This window comes from Homo sapiens, chromosome 2 (assembly GCF_000001405.40).
Source record: "Homo sapiens chromosome 2, GRCh38.p14 Primary Assembly".
Taxonomy (NCBI): domain Eukaryota; kingdom Metazoa; phylum Chordata; class Mammalia; order Primates; family Hominidae; genus Homo; species Homo sapiens.
The window spans coordinates 234,770,793-234,791,720 of NC_000002.12; the positions used below are offsets into that span (position 1 = coordinate 234,770,793).

The window sequence follows — 20,928 nt, forward strand, 5'->3', positions numbered from 1 at the left end:
AGCTGTGGCTGGCCCTGCAATGGAGATGACTGAGTGGTAGGGGGCAGGGGTGGATTTTGCCCCACAGGAGAAATTTGGTAATACCTAGAGACAATTTGGGTTGTCCCAACCTAGGAGTGGGGGGTTGCTCCTGGAATCTAGTGGGTAAAGTTCAGGGCTGTTGGTAAAAATCCTACAATGCACAGGACACCTCTTAAACAAATAATTACTCAGCTACAATGTTTCCATCTTGGTGAGGTTGAGAAACCCTGCCCTACAAAATTCTGCCAGAACAAAGTGCCTACCAGCATCCAAAATTAGCCAAAAACATGGCTAAAAGAGAGCAGGGACAGATCTATTTATTCATTCATCTGACCTGTATTTACCGAGTGCCAGCTAGGAGCCAGGCACTCCTCTTACTGCTGGGGGTTTAATAATGAACCAGACAGACAAGTCCATGCCCCCCACCCCCCAACCGGGGCTGATGTTCTAAGAGGGGTTAGAGTGGAAGGCAGAAATAAAATGAATAACAAGACACTGATAAGGGCCATTCCGAGCATTGCAATGGGGTGGTGTAAGGGGTGGGATGAGATGTCTGATTTTGAGCTGGGGGTCAAAGTGGCCCCCTGCAGAGGTGACATTTAAGCTGAGATCTGAACCACAGGAAGTAGTCAGTCACAGACCAAACAGGAGACAGGGCTTCCTAGAAAGAAGAGAGGGTTACTGCAAAATCTTTAAGATGGGGAGGAGCTTGCTGTATCTAAGGAACAGACAAAAGGCTGAAGTAGGACAGGAGGAAGGTAGGGAGGTGGATGGGACAAGATAAATGGGGCTTCTGTATGCCAGCCAGGGATAAGGGGCTCAGAATTTCAGTTCAGTGCAAGGGAATCGGCTAGAGGGTTGGGACAGGAGAATGATGGGCTCTGATTTGCCTTTTCAAAGAATGCTCACTGCTGTAGGGAGAATGAATTAGACGGCTTTAAGGGTTGAATTGTGTCTTCCCAAAAAAGATAGATTGAAGTTCTAGCCCCCGCAGTACTTCAGAATGTGGCCTTGTTTGGAAATAGGGTCTTTACAGAGATGATCAAGTTATAATGCAGTAATTCAGGTGAGCCCTTATACAATACAACTGGCGTCCTTATGAAGAGGGGAAATTGGGACAGAGACAGACACACATAGAGGGAAAATGATGTGAAAATAATGGCAGAAGCCAAGGTGATGCTCCTCTAAGCCAAAAAACTCCAAAGATTGCCAGCAAACCCCCGAGGCCAGGAGAAGGTCCTAGAACAGATTCTCCCTCATGGCCTCAGAAGGAATCAGCCCTGCTGATGCTCTGACCTCGAACTTCCAGGCTCCAGCACCGAGACAGTAAATGCCTGTGGTTTACTCCACCCAGTTGGCGGTGATTTGTTACAGCAGCCCTGACAAACTAACACAATGAGCCAGAAGCAGCCATATCCGTGTAGGTGGTTACCAGGGTAATCCAGGTGGGAAGGGATGATGGCTCGGACAATATGACACAGTGGGGGACAGAGAAGAGCAGAGCTATGACATGTTTCAGAAACAGGACTCGTTTAGAGAGGGGTGAGGGCAGGACAGGAACTAGGTAAGTTCTGTATTTGGCTTCAGCAAAGGAGAACTGGAAGAGAAACGGGTCCAGGTGGGGGATAAGGGAAGCCTTGGAAATGAAGCAGTGGGTTGGGGCCAATTCCATTTCAGTGCACCCTTGACATCTCCTCTGCTCCACCCCCCACACAGCTGTCAGCAGGCAGCTGGATTTAGTCGATGAACTGGAGATCCAAGGACAGGGCTGGAGAGACAGACTGAGGAGTTCCTCATGATTTATTCTAATGGATCCTCCTTCCCACTTGGAGGTTTTCACCACTAACCGGGCCACTGGCAGGGTGAAGGGTGAAATTGCTGCTACAAAGCAGGCTAGGTCAACCCGAAGATTGGCTTGCATACCACTGAGCTCTTCCTGAAAGTAGCAGCCGACTTCTTTTTCTTCTCTCCTCCTGTCCTCTAGAACCAGGATCCCCAACCCCTGAGCCACAGCCACACACCATGGCCTGTTAGGAACTGGCCGCACAGCAGGGAGGACGGCAGCAGGCTAGAAAGCATTCCCGCCCGCGCTCCACCTCCTGTCAGATCAGCAGCATTTGATTCTTATAGGAGCTTCAATCCTATTGTGAACTGCACACAGGAGGGATCTAGGTTGCACGTTCCTTACGAGAATCTAATGCCCACAGCCCCACTCAACTCACCCCACCTCCCCCAGCCAACATGGAAACATGGAAAAATTGTCTTCCACAGTCCCTGGTGCCAAAAAGATGCTGCTCTAGAATAGCCCAGTGCTGGGCTCTGCTGTCCAGTAATGAACTGGAGAGCAGGAATATTGAGAAGAGGCTGGAGGGGGGCAGAGTAATGGGAAGGACAGGGACAAATGCCCATGCTGAGACTGCATCACGCCCACTCTGCAGTGTAAATGGACTTCTCCCCAGAGGAGAACAGACTGCCCTCCAGGACCTTGGGAGACAAGGGAGCACGGTGACTTGCAGTTTCTGGAAATTTGCAAATGTGCCTGGAAATGCACCTGGCCTGTCTTGGAGAAGCAGCTCCCCTGATCTTTCAGTCACATCTGTCAATGACAGTGGCCAGGTCCCTTCGGTACCACCATCACTTCCACTGCATTGAAGTCCCCACGATATGCCAGATTGCCTGCCCCCTCATGTGACTTTCTGGACTCGAGAGGCAAACTCCCTTATCATGGGGACTAATTTCGTATAGTTAGTGACCTTTTAAGAAAGAAATGGCTCAGCCTTGTCTCTGTAATACAACACTTGTTGAACTCTTCAGGGAAATAGCTAGGTTTTATTCCTGCTTCAAATGCAAGCAGCCAAGGAGCAGAAATGGAAGCAGGAGAGAAAATGAACATTTTCTGACCATCTGCTATGCACAAAGCACTGTGCTCAGAGAAGCTATGTGTATCCTTCATGGAAGCTTCACAGTAATCCTTCCATAAGGGCATCAATTGAGCTATTGAGAACTTAAATTCAGAAAGGCTGAATAACTTGCTCAAGTAACCTAAAGATAAGTGGTGGGGAGGGGAACCCAACTCTGAGGTCATCTTAAATGCCTAGGGCCATGCAACTGCTGCCTGGATGGTTCTAAAGACATGTGACACTGGCCTCACCTGCCAGCAAGTCCTGTTTTGAAAGCTGTGGCTGGTGAACAACTGTGGCCTCTTTTTTGTCACACGATTTAATAGTCACATGATAGTCATGGATGTGCATCTACATGGCCGCCCGCTCTCTGCCATGGTGATCTTAGTGTTAGGATTTGTGTTGGGGCTGCCATGTCTTTGTGACATCATCCCCACCTGCTGCTCTGCTGGGACCAGGCTGCCATGCCCCTCATCCCGCTTTGGCAATATCTAGATTGCAGGCCGTACACAGACTTACATAACCTAACTAACCTTCCTGTTTGCCTTTGGTTGGTGAAGTTCCCTTTTCAGCAGAGTAGAGGATGGTTAACAACACAGATTGTTGTTTAAACTAGCCAACTTTGTAATGTAATCTGAAGGCAAATAGAGGAGAAATAAATGTACTGTCATAGACAAGGTAGAGAAAACTGTCTAGCATATGTGACTGAAATGTAGGCCACTGATCTATGTCTTCCAGGTACAGTTTAGAAGTGTTTGTAAGTCACTCTTGGTTCTGAGCCAACGCAAAATTTTCTCTGACATACTTGCAGTTTTCTCAGTGAATCTCATTGTGAGCTAAGTCTTTATTTTATGTAACAAACACATATTCCCAGATACTGTTCTAAGTGATTTACAAATATTAACTCAGTAGGCCTCATAATAAAGCTAAAAGGTAGGTACAGTAAGGTACGATAAGGAAACAGGGACAGAAAATCATCCAAGTTCATCAGGGCCCAAAACAAGCTCCACTCTGCTGCCCCTAAAATGAAAGAAGGCCAGGCGCGGTGGCTCATGCCTGTAATCCCAGCACTTTGGGAGGCCTAAGTGGGTGGATCATTTGAGATCAGGAGTTCGAGACCAGCCTGGCCAATATGGTGAAACCCCGTCTCTACCAAAAATATAAAAAAATTAGCCGGGCGTGATGGTACACGCCCGTAGTCCCAGCTACTTGGGAGGCTGAGGCAGGTGAATTGCTTGAACCTGGGAGGTAGAGGTTGCAGTGAGCTGAGATCACGCCACTGCTCTCCAGCCTGGGTGACAGAGTGAGACTCCATCTCAAAAAACCAACAATAAAATAAAATAAAATAAGGAGGGAGAAAGGGAGGGGGAAAGAAAGAGAGGAAGAGAAGGGGGAGGAGGGGGAGAAAGAGCAAAAGTCTCTATTTCTTAAGTAAATTTCAGGGAATGATTCTGCAGAGTTCTTCATTATTTTCCCCTTATAATAAATCTTATTCATTTTTCTTTTCTCTCCTTCCACCCTGTCTCTGCATTACTTCACTCCTTAAGCAGAAAAACTCTGCCTTCAGGGCTAACAGTCACCACGTCTTCTGCTTTGGCTCTGAAAAATATTCTATAGCCTATTAATAAACATGTCTCCATTTTTGGATTAAATTATTACTCAAGGCACACAGAACAAATAGAACTGTTTGAGGTTTGGCAAATAGTACCTCTCTCTTAAGATGTTCAAGTGACAAGATCATACCTGATAGATGAAAACAATTAGATACAATGGAGGAACAGCTCCAGTCTACAGCTCCCAGTGTGAGCGACGCAGAAGATGGGTGATTTTTGCATTTCCAACTGAGGTACTGGGTTCATCTCACTGGGGCTTATCAGACAGTGGGTACAGGACAGTGGGTGCAGCCCATGGACCGTTAGCCAAAGCAGGGTGAGGCATCACCTCACCCAGGAAGCGCAAGGGGTCAGGGAATTCCCTTTCCTAGCCAAGGGAAGCCATGACAGATGGCACCTGGAAAATCGGGTCACTCCCACCCTAATACTGTGCTTTTCCAATGGTCTTAGCAAATGACACACCAGGAGATTATATCCCAAGCATGGCTCAGAGGGTCCCACGCCCGCGGATCCTCCCTCATTGCTAGCACAGCAGTCTGAGATCGAACTGCAAGGTGGCATCGAGGCTGGAGGAGGGGGGCCCACCATTGCTGAGGCTTGAGTAGGTAAACAAAGTGGCCTGGAAGCCTGAACTGAGTGGAGCCCACCACAGCTCAAGGAGGCCTGCCTGCCTCTGTAGACTCCACCTCTGAGGGCAGGGCATGGCTGAACAAAAGGCAGCAGAAACTTCTGCAGACTTAAACATCCCTGTCTAATAGCTTTGAAGAGAGTAGTCATTCTCCCAGCATGGAGTTTGAGATCTGAGAATGGACAGACTGCCTCCTCAAGTGGATCCCTGACCCCCAAGTAGCCTAACTGGGAGACACCTCCCAGTAGTGGCCGACTGACACCTCATACAGCCAGGTGCCCTCTGAGACAAAACTTCCAGAGGAATGATCAGACAGCAACATTTGCCGTTCTGCAATATTTGCTGTTCTGCAGCCTCTGCTGATAATACCCAGGCACACAGGGTCTGGAGTGGACCTCCAGCAAACCCCAACAGACCTGCAGCTGAGGGTCCTGACTGTTAGAAGGAAAACTAACAAACAGAAAGGGCATCCACACCAAAACCCCATCTGTACGTCACCATCATCAAAGATCAAAGTTAGATAAAACTTTGATAAAAAAAAAAATGGGGAGAAACCAGAGCAGAAAAGCTGGAGATTCTAAATATCACAGTGCCTCTTCTCCTCAAAAGGAATGCAGCTCCTTGCCAGCAATAGAACAAAGCTAGATGGAGAATGATTTTAACGAGTTGAGAGAAGAAGGCTTCAGACGATTGGTAATAACAACTTTCTCTGAGATAAAGGAGGATGTTCGAACCAATGGCAAAGAAGCTAAAAACCTTGAAAAAAGATTAGACGAATGGCTAACTGGAATAAACAGCATAGAGAAGACCTTAAATGACCTGATGGAGCTGAAAACCGTGGCACAAGAACTACATGATGCATGCACAAGCTTCAGTAGCTGATTTGATCAACTGGAAGAAAGGGTATCAGTGATTGAAGATCAAATGAATGAAATGAAGCAAGAAGAGAAGTTTAGAGAAAAAACAGTAAAAAGAAATGAACCAAGCCTTCAAGAAATATGGGACTATGTGAAAAGACCAAATCTATGTCTGATTGGTGTACCTGAAAGTGACGGGGAGAATGGAACCAAATTGGAAAACACTCTTCAGGATATTATCCAGGAGAACTTCCCCAACCTAGCCAGGCAGGCCAACATTCAAATCCAAGAAATACAGAGAATGCCACAAAGATACTCCTCAAGAAGAGCAACTCCAAAACACATAATTGTCAGATTCACCAAAGTTGAAATGAAGGAAAAAATGTTAAGGGCAGCCAGAGAGAAAGGTCGGGTTACCCACAAAAGGAAGCCCATCAGACTAACAGCGGATCTCTCAGCAGAAACTCTACAAGCCAGAAGAGAGTGGGGGCCAATATTCAACATTCTTAAAGAAAAGAATTTTCAACCCAGAATTTCATATCCAGACAAACTAAGCTTCATATGTGAAGGAGAAATAAAATCCTTTACAGACAAATAAATGCTGAGAGATTTTGTCACCAGTAGGCCTGCCTTACAAGAGCTCCTGAAGGAAGCACTAAATATGGAAAGGAACAACCGGTACCAGCCACTGCAAAAACATGCCAAATTGTAAAGACCATTGATGCTAGGAAGAAACTACATCAACTAACGAGCAAAATAACCAGCTAACATCATAATGACAGGATAAAATTCACACATAACAATATTAACTTTAAATGTGAATGGGCTAAATGCTCCAATTAAAAGACACAGACTGGCAAATTGGATAAAAAGTCAAGACCCATCAGTGTGCTGTATTCAGGACACTGAATACATGTGCAGAGACACATATAGGCTCAAAATAAAGGGATGGAGGAAGATCTACCAAGCAAATGGAAAACAAAAAAAAAGCAGGGGTTGCAATCCTAGTCTCTGATAAAACAGACTTTAAACCAACAAAGATCAGAAGAGACAAGGAAGGCCATTACATTATGGTAAAGGGATCAATTCAACAAGAAGAGCTAACTATCCTAAATATATATGCACCCAATACAGGAGCACCCAGATTCATAAAGCAAGTACTTAGAGACCTACAAAGAGACTTAGACTCCCACACAATAATAATGGGAGACTTTAACACCCCACTGTCAACATTAGACAGATCCACGAGACAGAAATTAACAAGGATATCCAGGCATTGAACTCAGCTCTGCACCAAGCAGACCTAATAGACATCTACAGAACTCTCCACCCCAAATCAACAGAATATACATTTTTTTCAGGACCACACCACACCTATTCCAAAATTGACCACATACTTGGAAGTAAAGCTCTCCTCAGCAAATGTAAAAGAATAGAAATTATAACAAACTATCTCTCAGACCACAGTGCAATCAAACTAGAACTCAGGATTAAGAATCTCACTCAAAACCGCTCAACTACATGGAAACTGAACAACCTGCTCCTGAATGACTACTGGGTACATAACGAAATGAAGGCAGAAAGAAAGATATTCTTTGAAACCAATGAGAACAAAGACACAACATACCAGAGTCTCTGGGACACATTTAAAGCAGTGTGTAGAGGGAAATTTCTAGCACTAAATGCCCACAAGATAAAGCAGGAAAGATCAAAAATTGACACACTAACATCACAATTAAAAGAACTAGAGAAGCAAGAGCAAACATATTCAAAAGCCAGCAGAAGGCAAGAAATAACTAAGATCAGAGCAGAATTGAAGGAGATAGAAACACAAAAAACCCTTCAAAAAAATCAATGAATCCAGGAGCTGGTTTTTTGAAAAGATCAACAAAATTGATAGATCACTAGCAAGACTAATAAAGAAGAAAAGAGAGAAGAATCAAATAGACGCAATAAAAAATGATAAAGGGGATATCACCACTGATCCCACAGAGATACAAACTACCATCAGAGAATACTATAAACTCCTCTATGCAAACAAACTAGAAAATCTAGAAGCAATTGATAAATTCCTGGACACATACACCCTCCCAAGACTAAACCAGGAAGAAGTTGAATCCCTGAATAGACCAAAAACAGGCTCTGAAATTGAGGCAATAATTAATAGCCTACCAACCAAAAAAAAGTCCAGGACCAGACAGATTCACAGCCGAATTCTACCAGAGGTACAAAGAGGAGCTGGTACTATTTCTTCTGAAACTATTCCAATCAATAGAAAAAGAGGGAATCCTCCCTAACTCATTTTATGAGGCCAGCATCATCCTGATACCAAAGCCTGGCAGAGACACAACAAAAAAAGAGAATTTTAGACCAATATCCCTGATGAACATCGATGCAAAGATCCTCAATAAAATACTGGCAAACCGAATCCAGCAGCACATCCAAAAGCTTATCCACCATGATCAAGTGGGCTTCATCCCTAGGATGCAAGGCTGATTCAACACACGCAAATCAATCAGTGTAATACAGCATATAAACAGAACCAAAGACAGAAACCACGTGATTATCTCAATAGATGCAGAAAAGGCCTTTGACAAAATTCAACAGCCCTTCATGCTAAAAACTCTCAATCAATTAGGTATTGATGGGACGTAACTCAAAACAATACGAGCAGTTTATGACAAACCCACAGCCAATATCATACTGAATGGGCAAAAGCTGGAAGCATTCCCTTTGAAAACTGGCACAAGACAGGGATGCCCTCTCTCACCACTCCTATTCAACATAGTGTTGGAAGTTCTGGCCAGGGCAATCAGGCAGGAGAAAGAAATAAAGGGTATTCAATTAGGAAAAGAGGAAGTCAAATTGTCCCTGTTTGCAGATTACATGACTGTATATTTAGAAAACCCAAGTCTCAGCCCAAAATCTCCTTAAGCTGATAAACAACTCCCAGGATACAAAATCAATGTGCAAAGTCTCAGGATACAAAATCAATGTGCAAAAATCACAAGCATTCTTATACACCAATAACAGACAAACAGAGAGCCAAATCATAAGTGAACTCCCATTCATAATTACTTCAAAGAGAATAAAATACCTAGGAATCCAACTTACAAAGGATGTGAAGGACCTCTTCAAGGACAACTACAAACCACTGCTCAACGAAATAAGAGGACACAAACAAATGGAAGAACATTCCATGCTCATGGATAGAAGAATCAATATCATGAAAATGGCCATACTGCGCAAGGTAATTTATAGATTCAGTGCCATCCCCTTCAAGCTACCAATGATTTTCTTCACATAATTGGAAAAAACTACTTTAAAGTTCATATGGAACCAAAAAAGAGCCTGCATTGCCAAGACAATCCTAAGCCAAAAGAACAAAGCTGGAGGCATCACGCTACCTGACTTCAAACTATACTACAAGGCTGCAGTAACCAAAACAGCATGGTACTGGTACCAAAACAGAGATATTGACCAATGGAACAGAATAGAGCCCTCAGAAACAATATCACACATCTACAACCATCTGATCTTTGACAAACCTGACAAAAACAAGAAATGGGGAAAGGATTCCCTATTTAATAAATGGTGCTGGGAAAACTGGCTAGCCATATGTAGAAAGCTAAAACTGGATCCCTTCCTTACACCTTATACAAAAATTAATTCATGATGGATTACAGACTTAAATGTTAGACCTAACACCATAAAAACCCTAGAAGAAAACCTAGGCAATACCATTCAGGACATAGGCATGGGCAAGGACTTCATGTCTAAAACACCAAAAGCAATGGCAACAAAAGCCAAAATTGACAAATGGGATCTAATTAAACTAAAGAGCTTCTGCACAGCAAAAGAAACTACCATCAGAGTGAACAGTCAACCTACAGAATGGGAGAAAATTTTTGCAATCTACCCATCTGACAAAGGGCTAATGTACAGAATCTACAAAGAACTTAAACAAATTTACAAGAAAAAATCAAACAACCCCATCAAAAAGTGGGTGAAGGATATGAACAGGCACTTCTCAAAAGAAGATATTTATGCAGCCAACAGACACATGAAAAAATGCTCATCATCACTGGCGATCTGAGAAATGCAAATCAAAACCACAATGAGATACCATCTCACACCAGATAGAATGGCAATCATTAAAAAGTCAGGAAACAACAGGTGCTGGAGAGGATGTGGAGAAATAGGAACACCTTTACACTGTTGGTGGGACTGTAAACTGGTTCAACCATTGTGGAAGACAGTGTGGCCATTCCTCAAGGATCTAGAACTAGATATACCATTTGACCCAGGCATCCCATTACTGGGTATATACACAAAGGATTATAAATCATGCTGCTATAAAGACACATGCACACGTATGTTTACTGTGGCACTATTCACAATAGCAAAGACTTGGAACCAACCCAAATGTCCATCAATGATAGACTGGATTAAGAAAATGTGGCACATATACACCATGGAATACTATGCAGCCATAAAAAATGATGAGTTCATGTCCTTTGTATGGACATGGATGAAGCTAGAAACCATCATTCTGAGCAAACTATCACAAGGACAGAAAACCAAACACCGCATGTTCTCACTCATAGGTGGGAATTGAACAATAAGAACACTTGGACACAGGATGGGGAACATCACACACCAGGGCCTGTTGTGGGGTGGGGGAAGGGGGGAGGGATAGCATTAGGAGATATACCTAATGTAAATGACAAGTTAATGGGTGCAGCACACCAACATGGCATATGTATACATATGTAACAAACCTGCATGCAACGCACATGTACCCTAGAACTTAAAGTATAATAAAAAAAAAATTAGATGCAACAAAAGACTGCAATAAATTACTGCATTAGAAGACGGACTTCGTTTTTATTCTGAGACCTCTGACCAGTATCAAGAGTAGATGAAATGCATTCCTTTAGACGAAAGATAAGGTGTCAGAAAATTCTGCCTTGAGGCTGGGGGTGGTGGCACACTCCTGTAATCCTAGCCCTTTGGGAGGCTGAGGTGGGTGGATCAGTTGAGGCCAGGAGTTCAAAACCAGCCTGGCCAACATGGTGAAACCCTATCTCTACTAAAAATACAGAAAAATTAGCCTGGTGTGGTGGTGGGTGCCTGTAATCCCAGCTACTTGGGAGACTGAGGAAGGAGAATTGCTTGAACCCAGGAGGGGGAGGTTGCAGCAAGCAGAGATTGTGCCACTACACTCCAGCCTGGGCAACAGTTAGACTCCGTCTCAAAAAAATAATAATAATAAAATAAAATAAACAGAAAAAACTAAGAAAATTCTGCCTTGAGTCTAATTAATGAATTGACATGTGCTAGAATGAAAGAGGAGAGGATCCCCTATAATAAAAATTTTTCTTCAAAGTTGTTAGCAGCCATTTGTCATACTGTCTCATATCTGAAACCTTGGATTATACATTTTACCATCGTTTGATACTTTTATGTCCTCCCCTCCGTAAGCATTCTTCCTCCCTTTCTTACTCAGCCTGAATCCTGCTATTTAGCAAATAAGTTACACTTTTCTCAAAGCCCCTACTCCCTGTATCCCTGTCCTGCTATATTCAAAGAAAATTTCCACACCCTGGCCTAGACCTACAGTCTGCCAACTTCGTTCCCGGATTCCAATTCCTAAAAGTCCTAAATTACAGATTTCAGCCACAATAACTTCATGGTCTCCAGCCTCTGCCACACCTGAGTGCTTTTTTCAATTCTTTTACTTATTCTTGGCTAGCTACAGTGTTGGTAGAATATTATCCCCCCAAAGATGTCCACATCCTAATCCCTGAAATCTGTGAACATAGTAGCTTACATGGCAAAAGAGATTTTGCAGCTGTGATGAAGTTAAAAACCTTGGAAGATTATCCTGGGTTATTCCAGAGACCAGTGTATTTGCAAGGGTTCTTCTAAGAGGGAGGCAGGAGGAGAGGCAATGGTGGAAGCAGGGGCCGGAGACAGAGACACTGGGAGATGCTACACTACTGGCTTAGAAGATGAAGGATGGGGCCATGAGCCAAAGAATGTGAGAGGCCTCTGTAAGCTGGGAAAGGCTAGAAAACAGATTCTCCCCTAGAGCTTCCAGAAGGAACACAGCCGGGCCGACACCTTGATTTTAGCCAAGACAGACCCATTTTGGACTTCTCGTCTCTGGAATAAATTTGTGTTAAGCAAGCTGCTAAATTTCTTGTAATTTGTCGTAGTAGCAGTCGAAATCAATACAGTTACTTGTCCCATTTCCTCAGGAAACACACTAACATATTGCTTCTCTCCTCACCAGTTCCAGTGCCTCATGCACTTCTTAGTGGATCCCACCTACTATTTCACACACACACACACAAAAATAAACCAGATATTCCTTCATCAGTTTGTCACAGATCCAGCCCCTACCTTTGCCACTTATGCACACAAATGCATCTGTTCCTTACCCTGACTTTCATAAAGAACCACCATTTGGTTTTATTGATTTTTCTCTATAGTTTCTGTTTTCGATTTTATTGATTCTGCTCTTTACCAACTTTTTTCATCTTTTGGCTTTAGAATTAATTTCCTTTTTTAAATTTCTGAGATTTCTTAAAGTGGAAACATAGATGATTGGTTTGAGACCTTTCTTCTTTTCTAATATAAGCACTTTAGTGCTATTAATTTTCCTCTAAGCACTGCTTTAGCTGTATCCCACAAAATGTGATATGTTGTGTTTTTATTTAATTCAAAATATTTTTTAAGACTCCCTGTGATTTCCTTTTTGACCATGGTTATTTAAATGCTTCTTGTTTAATATCAAATATTTCAGGTTTTTCCAGGTATTTTCTGTTACTAATTTCTGGTTTAATTCTATGGTGATAAGAGAAACTCTTCCTTTCCATACTGTTTTTTTGTCTCTCTGCCAATAAGCATGCTCATGTTTTACCCATTCTTAAAAGGACACCCGTTCTTTGATCCTATTTAACCATACCTACTATTCTCTAACTTCCTCCTGTTGTTCTTCTTTTGTCTTCAAGGGTCTCATTCTGTCACCCAGGCTGGAGTGGAGTGGCATGATCATAGCTCCCTGAGGCCTTGAACTCTTGTGTTCAAGTGATCCTTTCACCCCACCTTCCCAAGTAGCTGGAATTACAGTCACCAGCTATCAGCCACCATGCCTAGCTCCTGCTTCTTAAGCTTCTCAGAGGAACAGTTTACACTTGCTGCCTCCCCTTTCTTCCTCCCCACTTATTTCTAAACCACACAGTGTTCCTTTTGTTTCCTTCTACTTTCCCAAGCCAGGACCTCTGGACTTTGTTTGCTTCCATAAATACCTATAGCCTCCTAAGAATTGTTATTTTTGTTAAAAATAGCCAGAGTCCATTTATTTGCTTCTAACCAAGAATTCTGACTGAGGTAGATTATGAACACTACAATCCTTTCCCAATTTCACCATCTAATCACCATAGCAACCACATCCTTTGATACATAGCAGCAGATGCAGAGACATGGTGTTAAACAGGCAAGTGAGAAGAATATTTCAAGGAGGGGGAGGAGGTAATGAGTCGGGTCACATTCTGGTGAGAGGTGGAGTAAGATGAGAGCTAAAAATGGCCATTTTGTTTGGCAATGTGGGAGTCAACAGTGGGGTAGTTATAAAAGTCATTATACAAACTGGGATCATTTTGAGAGACAAAGGAATCACAATTAATTAAACCAGAGCCACAGACCACAAGCCAAGATTGTGACAGGCAAGCTGAAACATGTAGTCTTCTGTTTTCTACGAAACACTTACACCTTTCCAAGATGGTTTCAGTGAAGTGGTGAGCTTGTGTGGATCAAGGGGAGAATGCAAAGTAAGAAAAGAGACAACATTTTTGAGGAGTTAGAGAATAAAAAGGAGCAGAGAAGTGGGGCAGAACCTGAGGGAGGAATGTAAGATTTACAAGTTTTATATCTTCTGGCCGGGCTCGGTGGCTCACGCCTATCATCCCAGCACTTTGGGAGGCCGAGGCTGGCAGATCACCTGAGGTCAGGAGTTTGAGACCAGCCTGGCCAATGTGGTGAAACCCCATCTCTACAAAAATACAAAAATTAGCTGGACGTGGTGGCATGCACATGTAATCCCAGCTACTCAGGAGGCTGAGGCAGGAGAATTGCTTTAACCAGGAGGTGGAGTTTGCAGTGAGCCAAGATGCACCCCTGTACTCCAGCCTGGGCAACAGAGCAAGACGCTGTCTCCATAAAAATAAAATACATAAAAATAAATATGTTTTATATCTTCTTTTTAAGATAGGCAATATAGCATGTTTTCATTTTGATGAGAATAATCCAATAGACAGGGATAATGGCAGGAAGGAATTTCCCGAAAAGCGAAGACTGAGGGATGCACTGGAGCGAGGGGTTGGCTGCAGGCAGGAGCAGGGACACATCATGCACTTGCACAAGAGAAGTGGCTGTGGGGGCCAAATGTTTCTCCTATACAGATGTATTGACGTCTCAAACCCCAGTACCTGTGAACGTGAGCTTATTTGGAAACAGGGCCTTTGCAGATATATTAAGATGAGATCATATTCAATTAGGGTGGGCCTTAATCCAAGATGACAGGTGTTTCTATAAGGCCCTGTGAAGACACAGAGACCCAAGGAGGAGAAGGCCTCATGATGGCAGAGGCAAAGGCCGGTTTACTGCATCTACAAACCAAGGGTGTCGGGGATGCCGGCAACAGCAGAAGCACTCTCCCAAGGCCCTCCGAGAAAGCACAGCCCTGCCGAGATAGCACAGCCCTCCGAGAAAGCACAGCCCTGCCTACGGGACAATTTTGGGCTTCCAGCCTCTGGAACCCTAAGAAGACATATTTCTGTCATTAAAAGCCACCCAATTTGTGGTAGTTTATTATGGCAGCCCTGGGCAACTCAGGCAGCGTTAAGAGCAGGGCTGGGACAGATGCTGGGAGACCTAGGGATGAGAAGAGGAGGCTGCTTCCCTGTGATGAAATAAGATCAAATGTCTGTACCTCTTACCTGTCAGCCAGGGGAAACTGAAGCCAAAGTATTCCTGGATGGAGGAGATCGGCACCCTGTTTCATATATCAACAAAGAGAAAGTGACAAAGGCTAGTAAGAGCGTCTCATGCGTGCAAGAGTCACAGGTGAACTAGGTTGGACCAACACTCTCCTCCCTCCCCAGAAAAGCAAGCAGCCCAGGAAAGCACAGCAATGATGCCGACAATCATCCTCAATACTGACCACCTGTTTCCTCAGGAAATTCCTCTCTTCTTGATTCCTTACAGTCACTCTCTGCATGTGCCCCTCTCCCTCTCCCCCACCCCCCATTGCATTTCCCCTACACTCTGCTCTTGGCCCACGTGGCACCCACTGCCCCTGAGGCCCCAAGCCATCTCACAGGTGTCATAGTTTTAATCCTTACAATGTTGGCTTCTGATAAGAGCTTATTGACGACAGGAGGGAGGCTCAGAGTGGTCTGCCCTCTACTTTTCCCAGAGTGAAAAGTGCTTCTTTGCATCAGTTGCATTCCAACTTTCTGCTTCTGCAAGGCTGAGCCAAAGAAAGACATTTCCTCCAGTGCACCTTTTTGGAGTAAATTTCTTGAGGATGTTCTGCAGCAGACACAAGTAAGGAAAACTGAGGAAGCAAAGACAGATGCTACCCACCACGTAGTGAAAGGATGTCCAGGGTGACAAAGAGAAAAGGTCCAGCTTGGAGTCAAAGTTAAAGGGCAAGAAGCCTTGGCTAGGGCTGGAAGCAGAGGTGTCTTCATAGAGCAACTGGTGGTGTCATGTCCAAGCAATGAGACCAAAGGGGAGCCGAAGACGCCCGTCCTAAGGTATTGTGCAGGGAAGGGACGTGGGGGGAGGAGGAGGAGCTGAAGCAGGAAGCTCAACAAGGAGGAAAGAACCAAGGAAGGGAAGTGTAAGCAGTGGAGCATTAGGGTGGTGTCTTAGTTCGGGCTGCTGTAACTAAATACCATAGACTGTGCAGCTTACAAACAACAGAAATGTATTTCTCACAGCTCTGGAGGCTAGGATTCCAAGATCAAGGTGCTGGCAGATTCGGTGTCTGCTGAGGGCCCATTCCTGCTCATGGATGGCAACTTCTCACTGTGTCCTCACGTAGTGGAAGGGGCAAGGGGTCTCCACTGGGCCTCTTTTATTTTTTATTTATTTTATTTATCTATTTTTTTGAGATGGAGTCTTGCTCTGTCACCCAGGCTGGAGTGCAGTGACTCAATCTCGGCTCACTGCAATCTCTGTCTCCTGGGTTCAAGCGATTCTCCTACCTCAGCCTCCCAAGTAGCTGGGACTACAGGTGCATGCTACCACACCTGGCTAATTTTTTGTATTTTAGTAGAGGTGTAGTTTCACCATGTTGTCCAGGCTGGTCTCCAACTTCTGAGCTCAGGCAATCTGCCTTCCCCAGCCTCCCAAAGTGCTGGGATTATAGGCATGAGCCACCGTACCCGGCCTGGGGCTCTTTTATAAGGGCACTAATCCCATTCACGGGGCCTCCACCCTTATGACCTAATCACCTCCCAAAGGCCCCACCTGCCAATACCCACACACTGTGGTTAGGTTTCTACATATCCATGCGGGAGCGGGAAGTGGGACACAAACATTCAGTCCACAGCAAGTGGGCAGATGAAGATGTCTGGGGAGATTTTAGACCAGAAGGCCACAGCCCGTGGCTGGGGTTTGTAAACCCCCAAGTGCTTGTTTTCTGGGATGGATGAAGCCCATTCAAAGGTGAAGCCTACTTTGCATTGCCCTTCAACCATCATACGGCACACTGTGGCCTCTGCCTCTGAGCCCCTGCAACCCTCTGTAAGCTCTGTGCACAAAGCCAGGGATCCTTTACCAAAGCAGGGGCCACCAGCCAGTGACGTGTCACCCATGCAGGTGTTGGGTTTTTCAATAAGATCATCAGCACACCCTCTGCTGCACACCCAAAGAACACATTTTCCTAGGTCTTATTTTCCTAGGTCTTACTGAATTTTTCTGATAATCCAATGAAGCTTCTACCCACAAGAAATGAAGCTGGGCTCCCAGGAGGCTCACCTTCTCCTGCTGGCCCAGCCTGAAGAGCAGGTCTCTACGTGGACTTACTGTTTTCATTGCAAACTGGTTCAGAGCTCAAAACTGTATGGGTCTGCATTTTACTAGCTCTGTAACCTTTGGCAAGTTACTTAAGATGGAGTTACTTAAGCCCTTTGCATCTCAGCTTCCTCATTTGTAAAACCAGGTTACTGATACAGTTATGAGGATTAAATAATATATATAAAACACGGCAGGACCTGTCGTGGTAAGTACCATACAAATGTTAGCTATTGATATGACTACTACTATTATTGTTATTGCTGCCTCATATGGCAAGAGACTCATCACACCTCTTGTCTGATTTGCGGAAGTTACAACTCAGGGCCCATGGCTTCTTTGTCCTCGATAATGTCAACCCTTAAGTTTTGGGAAAGTGTCACAGGCATGAGACTCTGACATTCCTGAGTCTCTACGGGGGCCAAATGCTCTTTTCGCCGTTCTATGATGTCTGAACGCTCCCATTTGCACACTGCAGGAAGCCTTTTTATCCCTCTGCTCACCCCATCTCGACTCCTGTAAGATTATTTTTAAAATTTGAACACAAAACTACATGCAACAATATGGATGAATTTCTCAAACATGATGATAAATGAGAGGAGACAGACAGATGACTGCCAACGTTATGATTCCATTTACAGAAAGCTCAAAAACAGGCAAAACTAATTTGTGCTGTTAGCAGCTAGGATGGTGATTATACTTGGCAGGGATACAGGAGTGACTAGATTCGATCCTGAGGAAGGCTTTCCGGTGGCTGGAAATGTTTAATTTCTTGATCTCAGTCTTGACAGCATGAAATTATTCAATCGGTAAAAATTCATTGAGCAGTACCATCATCATAGGAGTACTCTTCTGCAGGTACATTATATTGCAACAATTTTTTTTAAATGAAAATGACATCTGCATTAGTTTCAACATTTAAACATTATTCTGCTTAACTTGGAAATCTGGGTTGGAAGATCTGGCAATATCGAACCCACAACCCCACCAGGCAACAATGGGCGAGAGCTGAGTAGCCTGGGTGCCCACCCCCACCCTACCCCCACCATTCATTACACCCACTGCCCATCCCTACTGCCTCCCTGATGCTGAGGCTGCGGCCGGTGCCTGCCATCTGTCCTCACATGTACCTGTTGGTTCTCTTAGCTTCCCACCACTTCCCTGCAGGGATTTGTGTTTCCAATCCCATTAAAGCTCCATTCCAGTGAATCCTGACCAGCCAACCAGTCCTGGGACTTGGCCAGCACTTTGTAAGAGAAGTTCCAGAACCCTTGCTTTGCTCACAGCTCACTCTCTGGACCCTTTTTTGCCTTAGTTCACCTTCTACACCCCTCCCCTGCCTGCCCTGGTCGCCACTCCCCAAGACCCCTGTCCTTCTGTGCCATCTGAACCCCATGTTTGAGGTCATACCCAGGGTCTGATGGGGCTCCCCCTTTGGACTGCAAAGACAGTCACCCTCTGGACTCCATCTGCCCCCAGCTGCTCTGGGCAGGACCCCAACAATCTACTCTGATATCCCAGACCCCTTCCCTAGGATAAGTTATGGTCCAGTAATCGGGCCACGCTCAGGACTCCTGCGGCAGACATGACCTAGCTCCATGTATTACTCCTTAGGCTCACGTCTCACAGACTTTTAAAAATCTCATAGTATATTTGTCCTGCTCCCGATGTGGTCTCAGGGCCAGCTGGAGTCAGATGGGAGGGGGGTTCCATGATTCCCAAACCCCCAGCTTTTGTCTTTTTAAGTGACCTGATTCAAGCTGTCAGCCCTGTCACATTCTCTCCTGCCCACAGACATTTTTGTGTAAACTAATTATTTCATGATAGTGCTCTTCTATGGGCAAGTCAGCTTTCCAATTGATCCTTGTTGCTTATAAAGTGCCTCATTAGCTATCACAGAAGCTCAGCTATCCATTCTGACAGCCATGGAAGCAGCCATTCTGTGTGTGAGTGACGTGGGAACGTGCGGGTCTCTACTGGAGTCACCCCCATCAGGGATGCCCAGAAAGGCAGGTGCAGCATGCAGGCAGGTGAGCAATGCAGACACCTGTGCTTTGCAGTTCACCCAGCCTGTTGTCATTTCAGCGTCTTAAGTGAACCTCTAGCAGTGGCCAGATTACTGGATTTTGTGGGTGACATGCTTCAAAGCACAGCGTCCCTGCTCAAAGCTCATGACAGTAAGCCAGCATTGCTCAGGTGCCCAGGCTTGAAGAGTGTCCACCAACACATGGCCAACACTCTGTGTTCTCCAGAGTGCAGGGCACTGAGGGTGATAGGAGAGGTCCTGGGGAAGCCCTTGTCCTCCCTCTCATCTTCCCCCAGCATAGAACATCAGAGCCAGTCATGAAAGAGTGTGGCAGGCTGCGGGTGCCGGGGTGTGGAGACCAGGGTACAGGCACCGGGGTGTGGGTGCCATTGCCACCAGGCCAAGGAGAAAGAAATGAGAGGAGGAGGCTGGAAGGTGAGGAGAGGGAGGAAGGAGGAAGGGGAGAAAAGACGAAATAAAAGGAAATCCGCACGTCCTTTTGCATATTTGTAAAATAATACATCCTTTGAGTAGCTCATCCGCGTGCTGATTCGCTTTTTAACTCTCCTGTGGGTTCCCCAACCCACTGCAGCCATTCCCTAATCCATCCAGTGTCTGTGTTTCAATTAACTCAAGGCACAGCTTCATATTCTATTCTGCCCTGGCCTTAATGTGACTGAGAATAAGCCTACTGAGGTGTGAAGAAGATTAAATGAAGAAACAGGACATAAAGTTGGACTGTAGTAAGAAGGAAAGATCCACCAGAGACTCAAAATGCTAATTACTCATCCGAGTGGTCTGCAGAGGGAGGCACGCGGCCTGCCTGCTTCCTTTGAAGATCGTCTCCCTTCTGATCCTTCTGTTTATTCAGATAATATCCCATAACAAAGAAGAGAGTATAGAATATTAACGTAATCCTAGGGTGGGGTAATCCTATAGCAGTTGGGCTAGAGAGGAGTCCAAGTTTCCAACAAGGTCAGACACTGCATGAGAGGCACCCCGTCTCTCTCCCCATCTGGCCTGACCCCACATGGGGGGATGTGATTCCGAGAAGCCGAGCTCCAACCTTGCAGAATCTTTTTCTTCATGCCAATGGCTGGCCCTTTTTTCCAAGATTGCCCCGAGAAGGGAGTTTGTGTATGATTTTCAGATGTCTGCTCTCAGCTGATAAGAAGTAGCCTTATTCTGATTGTTCGTCTTACTGTCACAGAGCATAGAGGGTCTGGTTGATGCCATAACCTGAATCCCCAAGACCTCGCCAGCCTGGTGGCAGAAATTCTAACAAGTCAACCCATGGCGCCATGGTGACAAGAGCCTCCCCTCTCATGGCAGCCCTCTGGCCTAGGATCTGAAACCCTCCTCCAAACTTCCTCCACTCATTTCTGGAGCCCCCGGGAGGTTTCGTGTGTGCCCAGCATGACGCTTCCATTCCAGGGGTCCTCCTGCAGGCATCTGGCCCCTCTCTCTGTGCTTGCTGCTGGTCTCCTGTGTGAGAACGCTGACACCTGGCCAGCATCCTGCCTCCCGGGCACCCAGTGCACTCAAGATTCCTGCACGATGCGTTCTCTTCGGGGTCACATTGCCAGGACTCACAGGTTCCTCAAAGGCGCGTGTTTAGGTGACCTGCCACCATGACCTGAGGCTTCGGGAAACAGCCCCTGCAGTGAAAGACCCCTCGGCCACACTGGAAACTGGTGAAATTTACTTTGTGCATGCATACACTTTCTCTGGAGGGCTGCATTGGAGAAGAGCTACAGTGATTGTTGGGAGAGAAACTAGGAAACAGGGGGCA

General features: G+C 45.2%; 2 annotated features.

Annotated features, from left to right (window-relative positions):
• Positions 1,511 to 2,012: an enhancer, noted in NCBI's record as "H3K4me1 hESC enhancer chr2:235680947-235681448 (GRCh37/hg19 assembly coordinates)". NCBI's record gives its function as "activates a minimal SCP1, AML or CMV promoter by ChIP-STARR-seq in primed H9 embryonic stem cells {active_cell/tissue: H9 hESC(primed)}" and the evidence as "EXISTENCE:reporter gene assay evidence [ECO:0000049][PMID:30033119]".
• Positions 2,013 to 2,512: an enhancer, noted in NCBI's record as "H3K4me1 hESC enhancer chr2:235681449-235681948 (GRCh37/hg19 assembly coordinates)". NCBI's record gives its function as "activates a minimal SCP1, AML or CMV promoter by ChIP-STARR-seq in primed H9 embryonic stem cells {active_cell/tissue: H9 hESC(primed)}" and the evidence as "EXISTENCE:reporter gene assay evidence [ECO:0000049][PMID:30033119]".